This window comes from Homo sapiens, chromosome 6 (assembly GCF_000001405.40).
Source record: "Homo sapiens chromosome 6, GRCh38.p14 Primary Assembly".
NCBI classification, from domain to species: Eukaryota; Metazoa; Chordata; class Mammalia; order Primates; family Hominidae; genus Homo; species Homo sapiens.
In genome coordinates, this window is record NC_000006.12 from 69,881,407 (window position 1) to 69,899,996 (window position 18,590).

The 18,590-nt window shown below is 38.0% G+C and overlaps 1 protein-coding gene across 8 annotated transcripts in view, besides 1 other annotated feature; it reads left to right on the forward strand.

The window, feature by feature from the left end:
- The window catches only part of COL19A1 (collagen type XIX alpha 1 chain), a 345,913-nt gene that overhangs the window by 14,851 nt on the left and 312,472 nt on the right, over positions 1-18,590 (forward strand). For all 8 annotated transcript variants that reach the window (NM_001858.6, XM_047418188.1, XM_011535437.3 and 5 more), the window contains exon 3: positions 17,542-17,616. In NM_001858.6, the coding sequence (NP_001849.2) occupies positions 17,542-17,616 (75 nt within the window). The remainder of the gene's footprint in view (positions 1-17,541; positions 17,617-18,590) is intronic.
- Positions 6,641-6,824: a silencer, noted in NCBI's record as "fragment chr6:70597939-70598122 (GRCh37/hg19 assembly coordinates)". NCBI's record gives its function as "represses an EF-1alpha promoter that drives an FKBP-Casp9 reporter gene in an ReSE screen in phorbol 12-myristate 13-acetate-treated (for megakaryocytic differentiation) K562 erythroleukemia cells {active_cell/tissue: K562(+PMA)}" and the evidence as "EXISTENCE:reporter gene assay evidence [ECO:0000049][PMID:32094911]".

Below are 18,590 nucleotides of genomic sequence, written 5' to 3' on the forward strand. Positions count from 1 at the left end.
TCTTAACAAATTTTTAAGTGTATAACACAGTACTGTTAATTATAAACACGGTACTATACAGCAGATGTCTAGAACGTAATCATCTTGCATAACTAACACTTCCCCATCTTGGGATTCCCCTGAATGTTTGCTTTTGTAGCTCTAGTATCTCAACTCTTTAATCAGGTTACATGATGTATAGGACTACCAAAATGCATATATTCTGATCCAATTTACTTCGCTGAATTAATCTTTTGAAAGATTTTCCCAACAATGTGAATTCAAAATTAATCTGAACCCTAACAAGATTCACTTAACATGAAGCATTAAGGGAAATTAATAAAAGAAAAAATTACGTTTGTTTTTATCATGCTATTTGGTAGAGGGTGTTCGTAAAGCAACACGTACTGAATGTGTGATGGAAATTGCTTAACTTCAAGTATCATTTGCATTAATTGAAAATGTCAGCACAGCACTATCAAAGGGATTGTTGAAGAAGATGACAAGCTGGGCATGGCCTGGAAGGAGACCCTTCTTGTGTCTTGTGTATCTGGTTCACAGCGCAAGGTTCCCTTTTTAGTTTCCTCATGTGCAGACCTGCGCGTGTGGTCACTAACCATTTACCGGAGGGAAGTGATTACATCTAAAAATAAAATATAACAAATCTGAGAGAGAGTCTAGGGTTTCAGGGCTGGAGTCTGTGAAGTTGTCAACAGTTTACTATTAAACCTAAATATATGACAGATAGATTGGACCTTTTAATTGCTGTACCTTAACTCTATGGTATGTTAAATAGTTACCTGGAATTGTCACAGTTGGGACAGAATTTAAGAGTAATATGGAGAGATTCAATAATAACTTGAATTTTAAAATTTTGAAGGTATTAGGAATTCAGTCATTTCATATTCTTTCGTCAATTTGCCTATTGAGATCATGGGATAAGATATATTTGTTTATTTTCCCACTGCAAATGAACTTCCATTTGAATGTGGCAGTTTCAGCTCAGTTACTTGTCAAAAGAAGGTGGGGAAGAGAATTGTGTTAAAATATATACAATGCTAGAAAATCTCAAAACTTGCTTTAATTAGTTGCTTAAAACTCTTTCCTCTAATATAGACTATGTATCAAATAATTAAAGTTTCATCTACTTTCTTTAATCTGTTCTAAGGCAAAAGTACTATATCATCATAAAAAGCAATAAGAAACAGAAAACCAGAGTTTAAAAAAACAGGCTAAATAAATAGAAATGACAGAATGCTTTTTAAATAACACATTTTCCTTTCATTATGATAAATCTTCAGTTTAAGTGTCCAGATTGACTTGATTATAAATTTAAATTTAGGCCTGTAACTATTCATATAAGCCCTTCTAAGGTAGTTTTCTATTAATTACAAGGAATTACAAGGAAAAAAACCTATTATTCCAAAATGTGGCTTTTACTAGTTGGCAAACACTTCACGCTTAAACTCAGAGTAAAATGTATGCTGTTATATAGAGAATTTTATTTTGTGTTTTTAAGAAATTCTTGTGTTCAACATTGGTACCATGTAAAAATCCTTCATTGACAAATGTACTTTGTAACTCCTAAATTTTGAAAGTGGAGGAAAGCTTCACAATGATTAGATAAATAATGTAGCTTCTAACTAGGTATTTTCCTTTGGAAGAATTGGACATTTAAGCAGAGGCATGAAGGCAGTGTGAGGGCAAGGCACGTGAACACCTGGAAAGCAGTCACTTGGTCCCCAGGCTCTGAGGCGGCGGCATGCTTGGCATGTGGAAGAAATAGCAAGAAAAACTGGGGGACTGGAGCCAAGTGAATGAGGGGGAGGAGGTGTGAGGGTACATGCTCCTGAGAAATGCATCTGTGCTTTCTGTGTTGTCAAAATCTGATTTCTAAGCCTGCAAGGTCAAAGGCTAGACCTTGGACACTGGTAAATTCACCAAAGCAATAAATCCTGTCCTATGAGACCTCTTGGAAGATGGTCAACCTTTGCCATGTAGGACCCTTCCCGGATATCAGGTGGACAGGCAGGCTTCTGAATGTATGCCCCTCATTACCTCTTGGTAGCCTTATGTCACAGTTAATTGAATATTGTCATATTGTATTATTCATAATACATTGTTATTAAAGTACAGATGTGTGGAGATATGTGCATTTTAGCAAAGTTAAAATATAAGTTATAACTTGACCAGACAAATTATGTTTTCTTTCCCTGCAATCAGCAAACTGGTGTATAAGTAATACAAGAACCCTCACTAAACTGCAAAGAGTATAACAGAACTCGTTTACATTTATTTTGCACGATGACTGTAACTTTGATTTTCCCATTTGTTTTTGTATTACCCAAGGAATGACCTCATCCCCTGGCTTTTCCTAAGGCCAGAAGCCTCTGTGTCCAGAGAGCAACTAGTCCATTTTCAGTCTGAGTATTAGCAGTATACACAGATCTTTCAGGTATTAAATCAGTTGAAAAAACAAAACATTAAAATAACGGATTTTAGCTGATCTGAGCTTCTTAGCCATTCGAGAGGAGAAAAAAGGAATTCAACATACTTTCAGGGAATAATAATAAAAAAAAAGTGTAAAAGAGGGATTTCAACATACCTATGATTAATACTGTATTAAACTGAAGATTTATATGAATGGGTATAGAAAGTATCAGACCTGGCCGGGCTCGGTGGCTCACACCTGTAATCCCAGCACTTTGGGAGGCCGAGGCAGGCGGATTGCCTGAGGTCAGGAGTTCAAGACCAGCCTGGCCAGCATGGTGAAATCCTGTGTCTACTAAAAATATAAAAATTAGCTGTGCGTGGTGGCAGGCACCTATAATCCCAGCTACTTGGGAGGCTGAGGCAGGAGAATCACTTGAACCCAGGAGGCAGAGGTTGCAGTGAGCCAAGACAAGATCACGCCATTGCACTCCAGCCTGGGCGACAGAGCAAGACTTTGTCTCAAAAAAAAAAAAAAAAGTATCAGACCAATGAGAGGAAAAATGTTTAACAAAAGATGTGATGTTATCTTAAGATTAGAATGCCTAGCAATACAATAGGAGGTCAAACCAGTAGGATAAAACAGAGATTAAGGGGAAAAGTGATTTTCTGTGTGTGTGTGTTTAAGCACATGTTTAAAACTGAGGGTGGGAGCATAATGCACTTCTACTAAAGAATGAAGATAATTTCTTAGGTATGCTATTATTTTGTTTAAAATATGTATTTAAGAAGCAATGTTCAATACAGAGGGGGAAAAGTTGGTTATAGGACACTTGTGTTTTCTTTCCACTCTACCATTGAGTGGCTGGCTTTGTGATCTTAACTCCTCTTGGATGACTATGTTCTTAGGTTCTCAGGATTCTAATTTTTGGAAGGAGAAGGGGTAAACATCTTTTTTAAAGTATGTATTTTCTTTGTAGGTAATCTAGATAAAATAATGATATACCCAAATATGATCTAGCTGCCTTCCTTTGGCTCTTTTCTCTTTTTTTTTTTTTCCAGACTGAGTCTCGCTCTGTTGCCCAAGCTGGAGTGCAGTGGCGCGATCTTGGCTCACTGCAACCTCCACCTCTGCCTCCCAGGTTCAAGCGATTCTCCTGCCTCAGCCTCCCAAGTGGATGGGACTATAGGCATGTGCCACCACACCTGGCTAATTTTTTGTATTTTCAGTAGAGATGGGGTTTCACCATGTTGGTCAGGCTGGTCTCGAACTCCTGACCTCAAATGATCCACCCACCTTGGCCTCCCAAAGTGCTGGGATTATAGGCGTGAGCCACCGCGCTGGGCCCCTTTGGCTCTTTTCAGTACCCCCCACCACCTCTGTAAGTTGCCCAGGTCCTTCAAGCCAAATCAGGAGGAAAGTGGGGCTGATAGTTATTAACATCTTAGTATGAATTTGTTAAAAACATTTGCCTTTGCTTTTGAAAAAGATCTGTTAAGGTTCTCTAAGCAGTGCTTCTTTTAAAAAAATTATAAATATTTAAAAAATAAATTTTATTGTGTATATTTGAGGTCTATAGCATATTATGGGATGGATATAATTAAATGACTACTGTAGTGAACAGAATAACACACCTATCACCTCACGTAGTTACTTATTTTTGTAATGAGTGGCTAAATCTTATTTAATGAAAATCTCAAATGCAATACAATTTTATTGTATTTTGTTAGTCCTTATGTTGCACATTCCATCTCTAGATACATTTATCCTACATATCTGCTATTTTGTACCCTTTGAAGTGCATTTCTCCATTTCCTCCCTACCTCACACCAGTGATAAATATTCTTTTATTCTCTATCTCTGTGTATTTAAGCTCTTTTAAAAAATATTCCACATGTGAGATCACACAATATTTTTTTTCCTGTGTCTGGCTTATTTTACTTAGCATACTGTCCTTAAGGTCTATCTATGCTGTGGAAAATGGAAGGATTTTCTTTTTTTAAGGCTGAATAATATTCCATTGGATAAAATGTCTAAATGTAATCACAAAAACCGTAAAACTCCCAGAAGCGATCATGGGGGAATAGTTCCCCAACATTGACCTTGGCAATCATTTTTGGATATCACATGAAAAATCTCAGGCTACAAAAGTGGAAGTAAATAAATGGGACTAAGTCAAACTAAAACACTTATACACAGTGAAGGAAGCAATCAACAAAATGAAAAGACAACCTATGGGCTGGGAAAAAATAATTGCAAACTACTTATCTCATGGTTAATATACAAAATTTATAACGTATTTTTAAAACTCAATATCAGTAAAACAAATAATCTGATTTAAAAATGGACAAAGGATCAAAATGCATATTTCTACAAAAAAGAGATAAAAATGTCCAACAGGTATATGAAAAAGTGATCAACATTACTAATCATAAAGGAAATGCAAATTAAACCACCATGAGACATTACCTTGTACCTATAAGGATAGCTATTATCAAAAGACAAGAGATAACACAAACGTGGCAAGGATATGGAGAAAAGAGAACTCTAGCACACTGTTGGTGGGAATGTGGATTGGTATAGCCATTATGGAAAACAGTATGGCGGTTCTGAAGAAATTAAAAATAGAACCACCATATGATCCAGCAACCCCTCTTTTGGGTCTACATCCAAAAAAGATGAAATCCCTACCTTGTGAAGATATATCTGCACCCCCATATTCATTGCAACGTTATTCACAATAGCTAAGACATGGAAACAACCTAAATGCTCATGGATGGATGAATGGAAAAAGCAGTGCGTTTTTTTTTTTTGTGTGGTGAAATTTTAGTCATTACTTTTGCTATAGTCCAGAGAGCCTTTGAAATGACACGGTGCTTTGCCTCTGTCTACTTGACATAATATTTGGATATTTGAGTCTTTTCTGTAGTTCTTCAAAATACATGCACATTTACTCAAAAGTGCTCTTTACTTTATATTAAAGTATGTATTTTAATACTTAAAGAAATGAACATATCCACCTTGTGATAGCTATTTCCACTGCCTTGCCATTTTTGTGTAATGAATCCATAATATTCATGTATTCAGATTATTGTGCCTTAAATCTTACACCTAAATAATTAACATTTAGTTTTATTTTTTTTCAGCTTTTCACCACAAAGCACGTATGCTAAAGATATGAAATGGCATTTGATTTTTATAAAGGCTTTTAGTGTAGAAAGACTTTAATAAATGTTGCTAGAAATGTTGAATTCCATTCATTTCAAATGATAGGTTTATTACTTTGAAATCATCATATATTTGCTAAGTCCTCAGAAGAATTTAAATAAGATATATACTGTTTCCAACTTGGCAATAAGCCAACCAAAGTGTCATAATGGAAAGCCCCTTTCTACTATCTTGAGACTTGTTTTGCTAATCACCTACTGGGGCTTCCCTACATACATTGTGAGTAATTTAATCTTATTTATTATGGTTACATAGTCACTCGTAGTCATTATAAAAATATAATAAGAATGGAGTTTTTTTGAGTTTTTCAAGAGTCATTTTTAGCTTAAATTATTTTCTCACAGAGATGCTATTTTCCTCCTTTTGTTGAGATATTACACACACCAAAGTTGACAAATCTTAGTGCACAGTGCAGTGAATTTCTATGGATATATTTATACCCCTGTGTAACTACTACTCAGACCTAAATACACATTCTCAAAACCCAGAAGCCTTCTGTGTACCTGCTCCTAGTTAACATTTCACCAAGGTAGCCACTACACTGACACAGATTAGTTGTATAATCTCTAGAATTTCGTATAAATGGAATTACACAGTATGTATTAATGTTGCAGGACTTTTCCTTAGTTCAGCTAAAGATGAGTTCCTTGTCCCATGGCCATGAAAATTCAGGCTCACAGACAACTTGAATAGTGAGTAAGACAGGGTTTTATTGGGTGAAAAGGAAGGAAAGGGGGAAACAGGAACTCTCACTAGGCCAGAGTCCCTGCTAGAGCACTTCCCACCAGGCTGATTGAATCCCAGGTTCCACACAGGAAAGAGGATGGGCCAGGCTCCTCCCGCTAAAAAGGGTGTGAAGTTCCCAAGGCTCCATCTCAGTGGGCAGCCTGGTTGGAATTTCTCCAAGGACCCCCTCTCACCTGGCTGTCTCATTCCTCCCTCTAAAGAAGTACATCTAATTGCTCTTAGATTAAGGATAAGGATGAAGACCAATCTTAACTTCTTCCTGCTGACAGGGTGTGCTGTTTTGGGGAAATGGCAGGTGGAGCTCCCTCAGAGGCCTATCTAAGGTTTCCCAGCAGAAAGGGCCATTGTCAGAGGTTCCAGTTGCATTACCGTTTAGAGTTTGATGGCCTGAAGGCAAGAACAGACAAAGCCGGTTATTAGAAAACACGTATCAAAATGAAACAAGGGGAGGGATAAGGCAGCTCAAAAATTCCAAGGCCTTTTACCAGTTTGCACAGGGAGACGGAGGCCAAACACCCAACTAGCAAAAAAAAACTTTACTCTTTTGCCAGCATGTTGGGCTTCTGGGTTTCCTTCCCCAGAGTCCAATCCTAAGCCAACTAGTTTAAGGTTTGGGAAATTAACTCTTTCTAGTTTGAAGGATGCATTTAAGGGGACTGTCCTCTAGTACAAAGACACAATTACCTATCAGTGAAGAGAGGACAGAGGAGAAGAAAGGAAAAAAAAAAAGAGAGAGCACCTGTAATCCCATCACTTTGGGAGGCTGAGATGGGCAGATTGCCTGAGGGTCAGGAGTTGGAGACCAGTCTGGCCAACATGGTGAAACCCATGTATACTAAAATTACAAAAAAATTAGCCGGGCGTGGTGGCTTGTGCCTGTAATCCCAGCTACTCAGGAGGCTGAGTCAGGGGAATTGCTTGAGTTGCAGTAAGCTGAGATAGCGCCACTGCACTCCATCCTGGTCGACAGAGTGAGACTCTAGCTCAAAAAAAAAAAAAAAAAAGCAGTGTTCCCATTTTTTCTTGTTTATTCACACTTCTGTATTATTTTTGTTTTATTCTTGTCCAGTGTTACTTTACCTTTTTTTGTTAACTGGTGTTCTTTTTCCCAACCTGATATACTTGATATTCCTTTGTCAGATGTATTGGCAAAGTAGGATGTGTACAGGGGGGCTGAGGGGAACTAGTAACAAGGAAACAAAGAGCCTTTATTTTTTTAAGAAGCCTTTTTTAAAAAATGCAAAATGCCTAAAGGCTCTTGTTTTGATTCGTTTATGAAAGGAAAACAAACCAGTTCTGTATCTATGGTATATTGTTGCTCTTTATCTTCCCCAACTCTAACCTTGAGGAAAGAACTGCCATGAGCTTTGTCACTATTTGTAAAGAAAATTATTTTTCTTAACGTATGTTGGAGAAGACTGCTAAATAGAACTTGTATCAGACTAGACAGATTTTAATCGTGACTTTACATGCAATAATGATAATAATTTCATGTATGATAATTCTGAAGATATGAAGAAATAGGAAAACCAAAGCAGGAAAAATGGACAAGTGATATGTTACAATTTCTCAGGAGACACCACTTGCTCCCGTTCTCTTTTTATCTCACTCACTATGTGATCTCATCTCTCCTGTGGTTTTGAGAGGTGAAGCCAACTGGACTTCCTGGGTCAAGTGGGGACTTGGAGAACTTTTCTGTCTAGCTAAAGGATGATAAATGCACCAATCAGCACTCTGTAAAAATGCACTAATCTGCGCTCTATGTCTAGCTAAAGGATTGTAAACGCACCAATCAGCACTCTGTAAAAATGTACCAATCAGCGCTGTGTCTAGCTAAAGGACTGTAAATGCACCAATCAGCGCTCTGTGTCTAGCTAAAGGATTGTAAATACACCAATCAGCTATCTGTAAAAACGCACCAATCAGCGCTCTGTGTCTAAAGGATTGTAAACACACCAATCAGCACTCTGTAAAATGGACCAATCAGCACTCTGTAAAATGGACCAATCAGCAGGATGTGGGTGGGGAAAAATAAGGGAATAAAAGCTGGCCACCCCAGCCAGCAGTGGCAACCTGGTGGGGTCCCCTTCCACACTGTGGAAGCTTTGTTCTTTTACTCTTCACAGTAAATCTCGCTGCTGCTCACTCTTTGGGTCCACACCACCTTTAAGAGCTGTAACACTTGCCGCGAAGGTCCACGGCTTCATTCTTGAAGTCAACGAGACCACAAACCCACCAGAAGGAAGAAACCCTGGACACATCGGAAGGAACAAACTCCAGACACACCATCTTTAAGAGCTGTAACACTCACTGTGAAGGTCTGCAGCTTCATTCTTGAAGTCAGCGAGACCAAGAACCCACTGGAAGGAACCAACTCCGGACACAGTTTTACATAGGATTTATATGTCAGTCACTCCCAAATGTACTTCACAGCCCTCACCTCTCTTTTGAATTCCATTCCTAACTGTCTATTTGATAACTCCATTGTTTCAATTTCTTAATGGCATGTCAGATTTAACACTTCTAATTTCTCCTCTTTCCCACTACAGATTAACTTACGCCTTGCCAAGTTTTCTTTTATTTTTCTAGTGGGATTTATTTCAGTCAACTAATCTCCCTCCTCCCTACATTCAATCCCTTATCATCTCCTGTTGGTTCTTGTATCTCTCAATTCCTTCCCATGAAATTGAAGATGTTTTCCATTTTCAGTGTCATCTCTAGTCCAAGCTACCATCATATCTGGCATCACAGAGTATGGCAGTATGACTAAGTTTACCAGGTAAAATACAGATGCCCAGTTAAATTTGAAGTTTAAACAATAAATAATTTTTTAGTATAAGTATGTTCCAAATATTGCGTGGGACATACTTGTACTAAAAATATTTTTATTTATCTGACATTCACATTTAACTGGGAATCCTGTATTTTATTAGCTATGTTTGGTAATTTTATATATGTGAGGGAGAAGAGGTTATTTATTACACAGAGTGGTCAGGGAAGGCTGCCCTCCAACCTCACTGGGCAGGCTGGTTGGAGTTTCTCCAAGGACCCCCTCCCACCTGGCTGACTCATTCCTCCCTCTAAAAAAGTACATCTAATTGCCATTACATTAAGGATAAGGATGAAGACTGATCTCAACTTCTTCCTGCTGACAGGGGTTGCTGTTTTGGGGAAACGGAAGTCGGAGCTCCTTCAGAGGCCTATCTAAGGGTTCCTAGCAGAAGGGGCCATTGTCAGAGGCTCCAGTTGCATGACCATTTGGAGTTTGATGGCCTGAAGGCAAGAACAGACAAACCCATTTGTTAGAAAACACATATCAACATGAAACAAGGGGAGGGATAAGGACAGCTCAAAAATTCCAAGGCCTTTTACCAGTTTGCACAGGGAGAGGGAGGCCAAACACCCAGCTAGCAAAAAAAAAAAAAAAAACTTTACCCTTTTGCTAGTATGTTGGGCTTCTGGGTTCCTTTTCCCTGAGCCCAATCCTAAACCAACTAGTTTTAAGGTTTGGGAAATTAACTCTTTCTAGTTTGAAGGATGCATCTGAGGGGACCTTCCCATAGTACAGAGACACAATTACCTATCAGTGAAGAGAGGACAGATGAGAAGAAAGGAAAATAAGAGGGCACCTTTTAAAGGAGTCCCAGGGATTCAGGATGCATTTGAAAGGGGTACAGACTAAAGATGAATGGCTACCCATCTAGAATGAGGGGAGCAGGCATGCCTGGTTTTCTTCTCTTCCTAGCAGATACGTGGGGTACATGAGGGAGAGAGGGAAGAATGTCCTCTTTCCCTCTTCCATCCTTGCATCCCCAAGTCACAGCGACCTTGGCAGCTGCCGCCATGAGTGCCAAAGTGACTTTCACCCATAAAACAGGAAGGACCTAGAGAATAGGAATTATCCACTCTCACCTATGCCTCTATCCTCCAAACTGTCAGTAGCTTTGGAGTTCCCTACACCTCATTTATGCCATGGATATTAATGTGGCCTTCATCCATGAAACAGGAAGCTAGGGGTTGGCTTAATCAGCAGGAATCAGCCACACATGCTCACCTGCACTGTACCTTTTAACTTCCATTATTGTCTGCCTCTGGATCCCTAAGATCCATTTTTCTATCCTAGGGCTTTGACCAGAAGCTTAGAATTGAGTCTGGGATGAAAATTTGTCTTGAGGGAGTTGCATGGACTCCTTATCATAAGCTGAATGCTAAGTTAAAACTGTGGAACTGAGTCCTCCTCCAACAAGGGAGGGGAAAGGATGTCTTGTGAGACACCCAGATAACTGGTAGCTATAGTTATGCTTGCTAAGATTTGGGTGCATGGTACTTGGCTTTGGTTAGCTTTCTTGGTCTTACTTTCCCAAAAAGGAAACCTCCGAGTGGTGGGTATCCTATTTATCCCAACTGCCTGGCAGGATTTGCAGGATAATTGCTCAGAACTAGAATATTGATCCAGATTTCTACATTACCCATCCCTTTTGTTCTTTCTGAGCTGCAGCTGGAGACTGCTGGTTGGTTCACAGGAACAAGCAGGGTTAGCCTAAAATGTAAGCGAAAACTTAAAAACAACTAGTGAGTTTAGAATTTAATGACAAATATATGATACGTTTTGAAACATGATTTCTCTCTCTCCAGTCCTCATTTTTATTAAAAAACAAATCATCATAGGACTGAGTGGTTTGCAAAATAGACTTTACTTTTATACTTGGCCTGATTATTTGCAAAAATACAGCAAGTATAATTATTTTTACATAGGTTTTTTGGATTGGCTTTGATGGAACTCTGTTCCCCAAGGAATCTCAGATAAGATCTTTTAAAGCTGAGCCCAGCCATGGGTTTATCCTCAAATACCTGTAAGTTGAGTGATCCTCTCCTCTTAAGGTCCCATAATAAACTTGGAGCTCCTAGATCTGTTAGAAAGTGACATTCTTTACTGACCACAGGTCAGGAACCCTGTACAGGAACTGTGTAGACAAGGGTATGAGGCAACTGGGCTTCTATCATCCCTGCAAGTTGAGATTGACTCCTTAAAGGGAAGCATACCCTTCCAGTCTAAGCCTTGGTAAAACAACCACTTTCTCCAATTGTGTCCTGCCACAAAAGAAAAATGGATTCTTATTCCACTGATGCAAACGGCTATATTACCATAAGTTGAGGATACTCACTGAGAGTTTCCAAATTCTATAGGAACCAGGAAGAGAGAAACAAACGTGCTACAAATTTTGTTCATAGGAGTATACCTTACTCAATTATTAAAGGCCGTAAAAGGTTCAAAATAAATTTCTTCGACTATGAAAACCCAAACAAGGATCAGCAATATTCCAACCAAAAGTCAAATAAGTTGCTTCAGCTTTCTGAGTTCAGTCCATTTAGTTAACTCTTGTTTTGCTTGATATTCGTGAATGTTTCAGCTTTTCATGAGTCCTGTACTATTTTCCTTTATTCCAAAGGTTACAATTTCTAAAGCTATCATAAACCTATATTTCAGAGCACCTGTTACAGTTCTATAGCTTATTAGAAACCATCTTTTGAAAAGGATTAAAATAGGACAACAATTGTCTGTGAATAGCAAAATGTCCAGGGTAATTACAGTTAGAAACACAATTGACAAAAAAGTTTGGTTATCTCCCTAATGGTTTACAGTAACTTAAAATAGCAACTAAGGACTAAGCTCTGATTTTTATCTTGCCCAGATTCCTTTCTAAGGAGTCTGGGGAGTCATGCCCTACAAACCATAAATTCTCATCAGATGGGTTTTATTTAACCCTGTATATTGTGACTTACTTTCCAATCTGACTGTGGCATAACAAGGAAGAAAATTACAATGTTTTACCCCAAAGTATATTTCCTTGCCATACCTTGAAATTGCCCTGCAAAATCTCTTGTGGGAAAAGTCCACATTCTATAGAAAATTCTTTCTCCTTTGTTTTCTTTCCTTTGTTTCCAGATCCAAGAGATAATCAACTAACAGCCAGGTACCCTTTTAGGTCTGATAAACATTTTACAACTCTGCAATCTGAGAGATTCCTCTGCACAATAAAACTTGGTCTCCACAATCCTTTATCTTAGCCTGAACATTCTTTTCCATTGATCCCAGGTCTTCAGATAAACTCAACCAATTGTCAACCAGAAAATGTTTAAATTTACCTATAGTCTGGAAGCACCACCCCCGCCCCCCACTTTAAGTTGTCCCACCTTTCTGAACCAAACCAATGTATTTCTTAAATGTATTTGATTGATGTCTCATGCCTCTCTAAAAATATATAAAACCAAGCTGTACCCCTACCACCTTGGGCACATGTTCTCAAGACCTCCTGAGGGCTGTGTCACAGGCCACGGTCACTCATATTTGGCTGAGAATAAATCTCTGAAAATATTTTATGGAATTTGACTCTTTTCATCGACAGTAGTTTCAATTATGTGTTATAATAGTAATTCCTAGCATCTTTAACTTTAAGATAAAACTTGGTAAGTTGCTTTGTGTGCTAACTGCAGCCAAGGTTTGCTTTCTTCATTAAGGGCCTGGTTATTCCATATGTCCCCAGGCCTTAATAGTTGTGAAGCCAGCAAGTCAAATAGTTCTCAAAACCCAAAAAGCAGTTTGTAACCTTAAAACACTTAGCAAACCTTGCATCTGATCTGCAGTTTACCAATAATCTCTAAGGCTTTTTTAATTTCTCAAAGATTAAAGTCATGTGAACTAAAAGGTACTACAGATTTTATATTCCCTTTAAAAAATATTTGATCTAAGCACTTGTCTTTCTTTAGGCCAAATTAATTAGAGCTCTTTTGACAGGCATTAAACACAGTACATAGACATGCAGAAGAAAACCCAGTCGCTGGGTGGGGCCCTTTAAAGGACAGGCCTGGGAAAACATGCAGATATCAAACCAGAAAGAAACTTATTCCCTAAGGCAGGATTGCTAAACAAAGCCTTGCCAAGCAGTTACAGGCCATGCCCCCAGGATGTAAAACAAGATGAGGCTTGCAGCACAAACCACACAGACATGCAAAGCACACCAGATTGGCCACAGCCCAAGACTAGCCCCACAAATCCTGTTTCACAATTAAGCTTTACAGAAAAAATAAACAGTGATGGTTGGGGGATCTGGCCTAGCAAAGGGGGAAAATATCTTTAAGGCTTAACTGCTGATGGAGTGGAGAGGAGGAAAGAAAAAACATTTTTTAATGCTTGAGGAAGAACCTCTTATTCTTATACAACTGATTCCTCCACCAGGGAGAAAAGATTAAGCTTAATTACTGTCCAAAAGAGTTAAACCCGTTAGCCAGGGAAGAGGAAGGCTGTGGCAGCAGTCTGTGGCTGGGAACCAGTCAGCTGGCTGTGGGGGACTTTTGAGCCATGCGTCCTAGCACTGCGTAGGGTGTGGGGATCGGCATGGAGCTGCTGCTCACCAGTCTGTCCTGAAAAAGGAAAAAAAAGGCCATGAAAAGTCTCCCGACCCCAAGGAGCGACAGAGGGTGGTGGGGTGGTTTCCCATAAGCTCAGAAGTCCAAGGACGAAAAGGCTTAGAAAGCCACAGTGAGAGGTTTTGTGTTCTCATTTCACTCACCACTTCTTGAGCTCCCACATTGAACACCAAAAATGTCGCAGGACTTTTCCTTAGTGCAGCTAAAGATGGTGTTCTTTGTCCCATGGCCATGAAAATTCAGGCTTGCAGACAATTTGAATGGTGAGTAAGACAGGGTTTTATTGGGTGAAAAGGAAGGAAAGGCAGAAACAGGGACTCTGTCTAGGCCAGAGTCCCTGCTAGAGCACTTCCCGCCAGACTGTTCAAATCTCATGTTCCACACAGGAAGAGGAAGGGCCAGGGTCCTCCCCACTGCAAAGAGTGTGAGCTTCCCAAGGCTCCACCTCAGTGGGCGGGCTGGTTGGAGTTTCTCCAGGGACCCCCTCCCACTTGGCTGTCTCGTTAATATTTTTTGGGTGAATGACTTTTTTCTATTTAATATTATATCTGTGAGATTTATCTAGTTGTTGCATGTATCAATAGTTCATTCTTTTTTATGGCTATACAGTTTTTCATTGTATATGCCACAATTTAATTATCTTGCTCCTTCTTGTTGATAAACATTTTGGTTGTTTCTGGTTTTAGACTATTATGTGTAACGCTGCCATTAATATTCTTGTCTAAAAGGGCCATCTACACTTATTTTTTGGTACTCCTTTCTCCTGGTTCATTGAATTTTCAAGTCATACAGTTCATATATATTTAGCTTTAGTAAATACTGCCAAACAGTTTTCTAAAGTGTACTAATTTCCATTCTCATAAGCAATGTAGAAGAGGTTTTGTTGCTCCACATCCTCATCAACGCTTGACTGCCATGAATATTCTTGCCTAAAAGGGCCATTACACCCATTTTGGGGCACTCCTTTCTCTTGCTTCATTGAATTTTCAAGTCATACAGTTCATATATATTTAGCTTTAGTAAATACTGCCAAACAGGCCGGGCGCGGTGGCTCACGCCTGTAATCCCAGCACTTTGGGAGGCCGAGGCGGGTGGATCATGAGGTCAGGAGATCGAGACCATCCTGGCTAACAAGGTGAAACCCCGTCTCTACTAAAAATACAAAAAATTAGCCGGGCGCGGTGGCGGGTGCCTGTAGTCCCAGCTACTCTGGAGGCTGAGGCAGGAGAATGGCGTGAACCCGGGAGGCGGAGCTTGCAGTGAGCCGAGATTGCGCCACTGCAGTCCGCAGTCCGGCCTGGGCGACAGAGCGAGACTCCGTCTCAAAAAAAAAAAAAAAAAAAAAAAAAAAATACTGCCAAACAGTTTTCTGAAGTGTACTAATTTCCACTCCTACAAGCAATGTAGAATAGTTTTTGTTGCTCCATATCCTCATCAACACTTGGCATCTTCAGTGCTTTAATTTTAGCCATTTAGTGATATCTCACTGTGGTTTCACTTTGCATTTCCTTGATAACTAATGATGTTGAGCACCTTCTCATATGTGGGTTGAACATTTGGATATTCTCTTTTTTGAAGTGTTTAAATCTTTTTGCACATTTTTAGAATAAGATTTTCAAGCTTTTTTTGTTATTGATTTCTGAGAGTTCATTGTATATTCTAGAAATGATACTTTATTGCATATTTGGACTGGAGGTAACTTCTCCTAATTTATGGCTTGACTTTTTACTCTTTTAGTGTTGCCTTTTGAGTAAAGATGTTAATTTTAATGAAGTTCAACTTAGCAATCTCTTCTTTTGTGATTAATGGTTTCTGTGTTCTTTTCAAGACATCTTTGCTATCCCAAGTTCATGAAGACTTTGTTGTCTTGTGGATGCTTTACTGTTTTACCTTTCATATTTATTTCTATGATTATCTTTAGTTAGTTTTTGTGCATGGTGTGAAATAAGGTTCAACATTCAGTGTTTTTCTGTATGGATATTCTGTTGACCCAGCACCGTTTAGTAAAATGACCATCCATTTCCCACTGAATCAAGTGGCCTTTCTGTGGTAAATAAGGAGACCATACGTTTTGGGTTATGTTTGTGTTTTTCCATATGTGTACCAACCCCACAGTATAAAAAAATTTATATCTGATAGTTTAAAGTTCTCTAGCTTATTCTTCTTTAATTTTGCCTTTTACTATTTTAGCTTGTTTTCTGTAGTTTCATGTAAATTTGAGAATCAGCTTGTCAGTTTTACACACACACACACACACACACACACACACCCCATACTGTTGGGATTTTAATTGGCATTGCTCTGAATCTAGAGATAAAACCAAGAACTAACATCTTAACAATTTTAAGTCTTGCATTCTAAGCATTTTGTTTATCCCTTCAGTTATTTAGGTCTTTAATTTCTCTCAGGCATGTTTTATAGATTTTAGTGTTCAGATCTTGAATGAGGTGCTTGGGTTTTATAAAAGTGACTATTAATCCGAATCATTAATTGGTAATGTTTACAAAATCTCTAATAATTTTACTATTATTTAGAGCCTGCAATTGTATTAAGAGTTCTGAGATAGCAATTTTCCATATTAGCTAAGTAATATCTAAAAGTACTCAGTGCTATAATTTCACTTACTTTACAAATTGTGTTCAAAATGTTTTTTGCAGTATATTTGCTTCTTATTTTTAAATTTGATTAAGTGGTAGCATTATTTAGAATCTGATTTATTTTCTGGTTAAATATATTAAGATGATACCCTCTCACCATGCCTGAGGTCTGTGATATATTTGTTAAATGAAGGGGGAACTGGTGAATCGGCAATTTCAATTTGGTTTTAAGTAGTTTATCTCCTCTCTATATTAAAAACTTCTTAGTTATTAAACCCAAACATCAATTTTAGACATAGAGAATTAAAGTTGTGATTGCATGATGCCAAAATATTTAATCAATTTAGTTTAAAATGTTAAACTAATGGTCTTAACTGTCCAGTTGTACAGTTATCTTGGCACAATTCAAAAATTGGCTGTAATTTTGTCTGAATTAACTGAATTAGCCTGATTCAATTTAAACATGTCCTAAGACGTTGAAAAATTGGTGTGTGCATATCCATTACTGTATTAGTGTGTAGTGGTAGTATTAAACATGTACATTCACTGAGTTGAGACTATCTTTTATTTCTTTGAATATCACTAAGTGCTGTAGCACATAAGTACACTTTCTCAATGATTTTATTTCTTTTTTTAAAATTATAGGCCACTTTTGTATGGTAGAGATCTTTGCTTTTTAAATTTTATTTTAGTAACTTCCATATATGTTGCCTTTAGTTTTTAAAGTTTCATATCAGCCAACACCAAAACTTGAATTAAAGTTGTGATAAAATATAGTAGTAGTTCACTTGTTTTACTATTGTACTTTGAATACGAAAGTTTAACGATGTTAAAACTAGCTTATTTCCAAATGTCAAGGATACATAAAGTGTTCAAATAATAGTTATAATAATAATGGCTAACACTAACAAGTATTCACTGTGAACCAAGCAGTGTTCTTAGCACTCTACATAAGTAACCACATGTAACCCTCACAAAAACACTGAGGTGGTTAATGTTCTTATCCTCATTTTACAGAAATTTAATAAATGGTTTAATTTATTTCCATTTTATCTTAAGTTTCTGATTGTACTGTGTAATTAAAATTCATACATAATGCAAATCCTCTATGCTTTTTTTCTTTTTAAATAGAAGAGTCATGCCCTATCCTGAGAATAGAGGGACATCAGCTGACATATGACAACATAAACAAACTTGAAGTTTCAGGTAGGCAATATAATCCTTTGCAAAGTAATATTTTATGTAAAATTATCACCAAATGCTAGATATGGAATACATTATAGGTGAATCTTTGATACTGCAATTTAAGATCATAGCATTAACGTGAAAATTTTAAGAATTCTTTTTAATTTTTTTTTTTTTTTTTGAGACAGGGTCTCACTCTGTCACTCAGGCTGGAGTGCAGTGGTGTGATCTCAGCTTGCTGCAACCTCCACCTCCTGGGTACGAGCAATTCTCCTGCCTCAGCCTCCCAAGTAGCTGGGACTACAGGCACATGGCTATTTTTTGTATTTTTGGTAGAGATGGGGTTTTACCATGTTAGCCAGGCTGGTCTCGAGCTCCTGGCCTCAAGTGATCCATCTGCCTTGGCCTCCCACAGTGCTGGGATTGCAGGCGTGAGCCACCATGCCCGACCCATAAAAATTTAAGGTAGATGATGTAGAAAAAATTCCGAAAGCAGGGTTCTATATGTTTAATCTGTGATCAACAATACCTCAACCTCTTGGAGAAAAAAAAACTTATTTAAAATTATAAAAGTGTCCATTGTAGAAATTTTGGAAGAAGAAAAAAAAATTTGTGAGAAGGAAGATGTCACCACCCAGATAAAGACAAGATTACCATTTTGGTAATCCTTGTTATCTTTCCTTTTGGTAATCTTTCTTATCTTTCTTTCTCCTTCTTTTCCTCCTCCTTCTCTTCTCTCTCTCCCACATAAATGCTAATGAGTGTGTGACACACACACAGTTATAATTCTTATATTACATTTCATGTGTATGCATTTCCTGTCATCAATACACATTTCTTTAAAGCATAATTTTGTAAAAGGCTGCTTAGATTTAAACTGAATGGCTGTACTATTTTTAATCTAATTTTCTAACTTTAGACATGAGAGCTGCTGCAATGAGTTACTCTAATTTTTACTTAAGATAATTCCTAGGTCAAAGGAAATTAAAATTGAG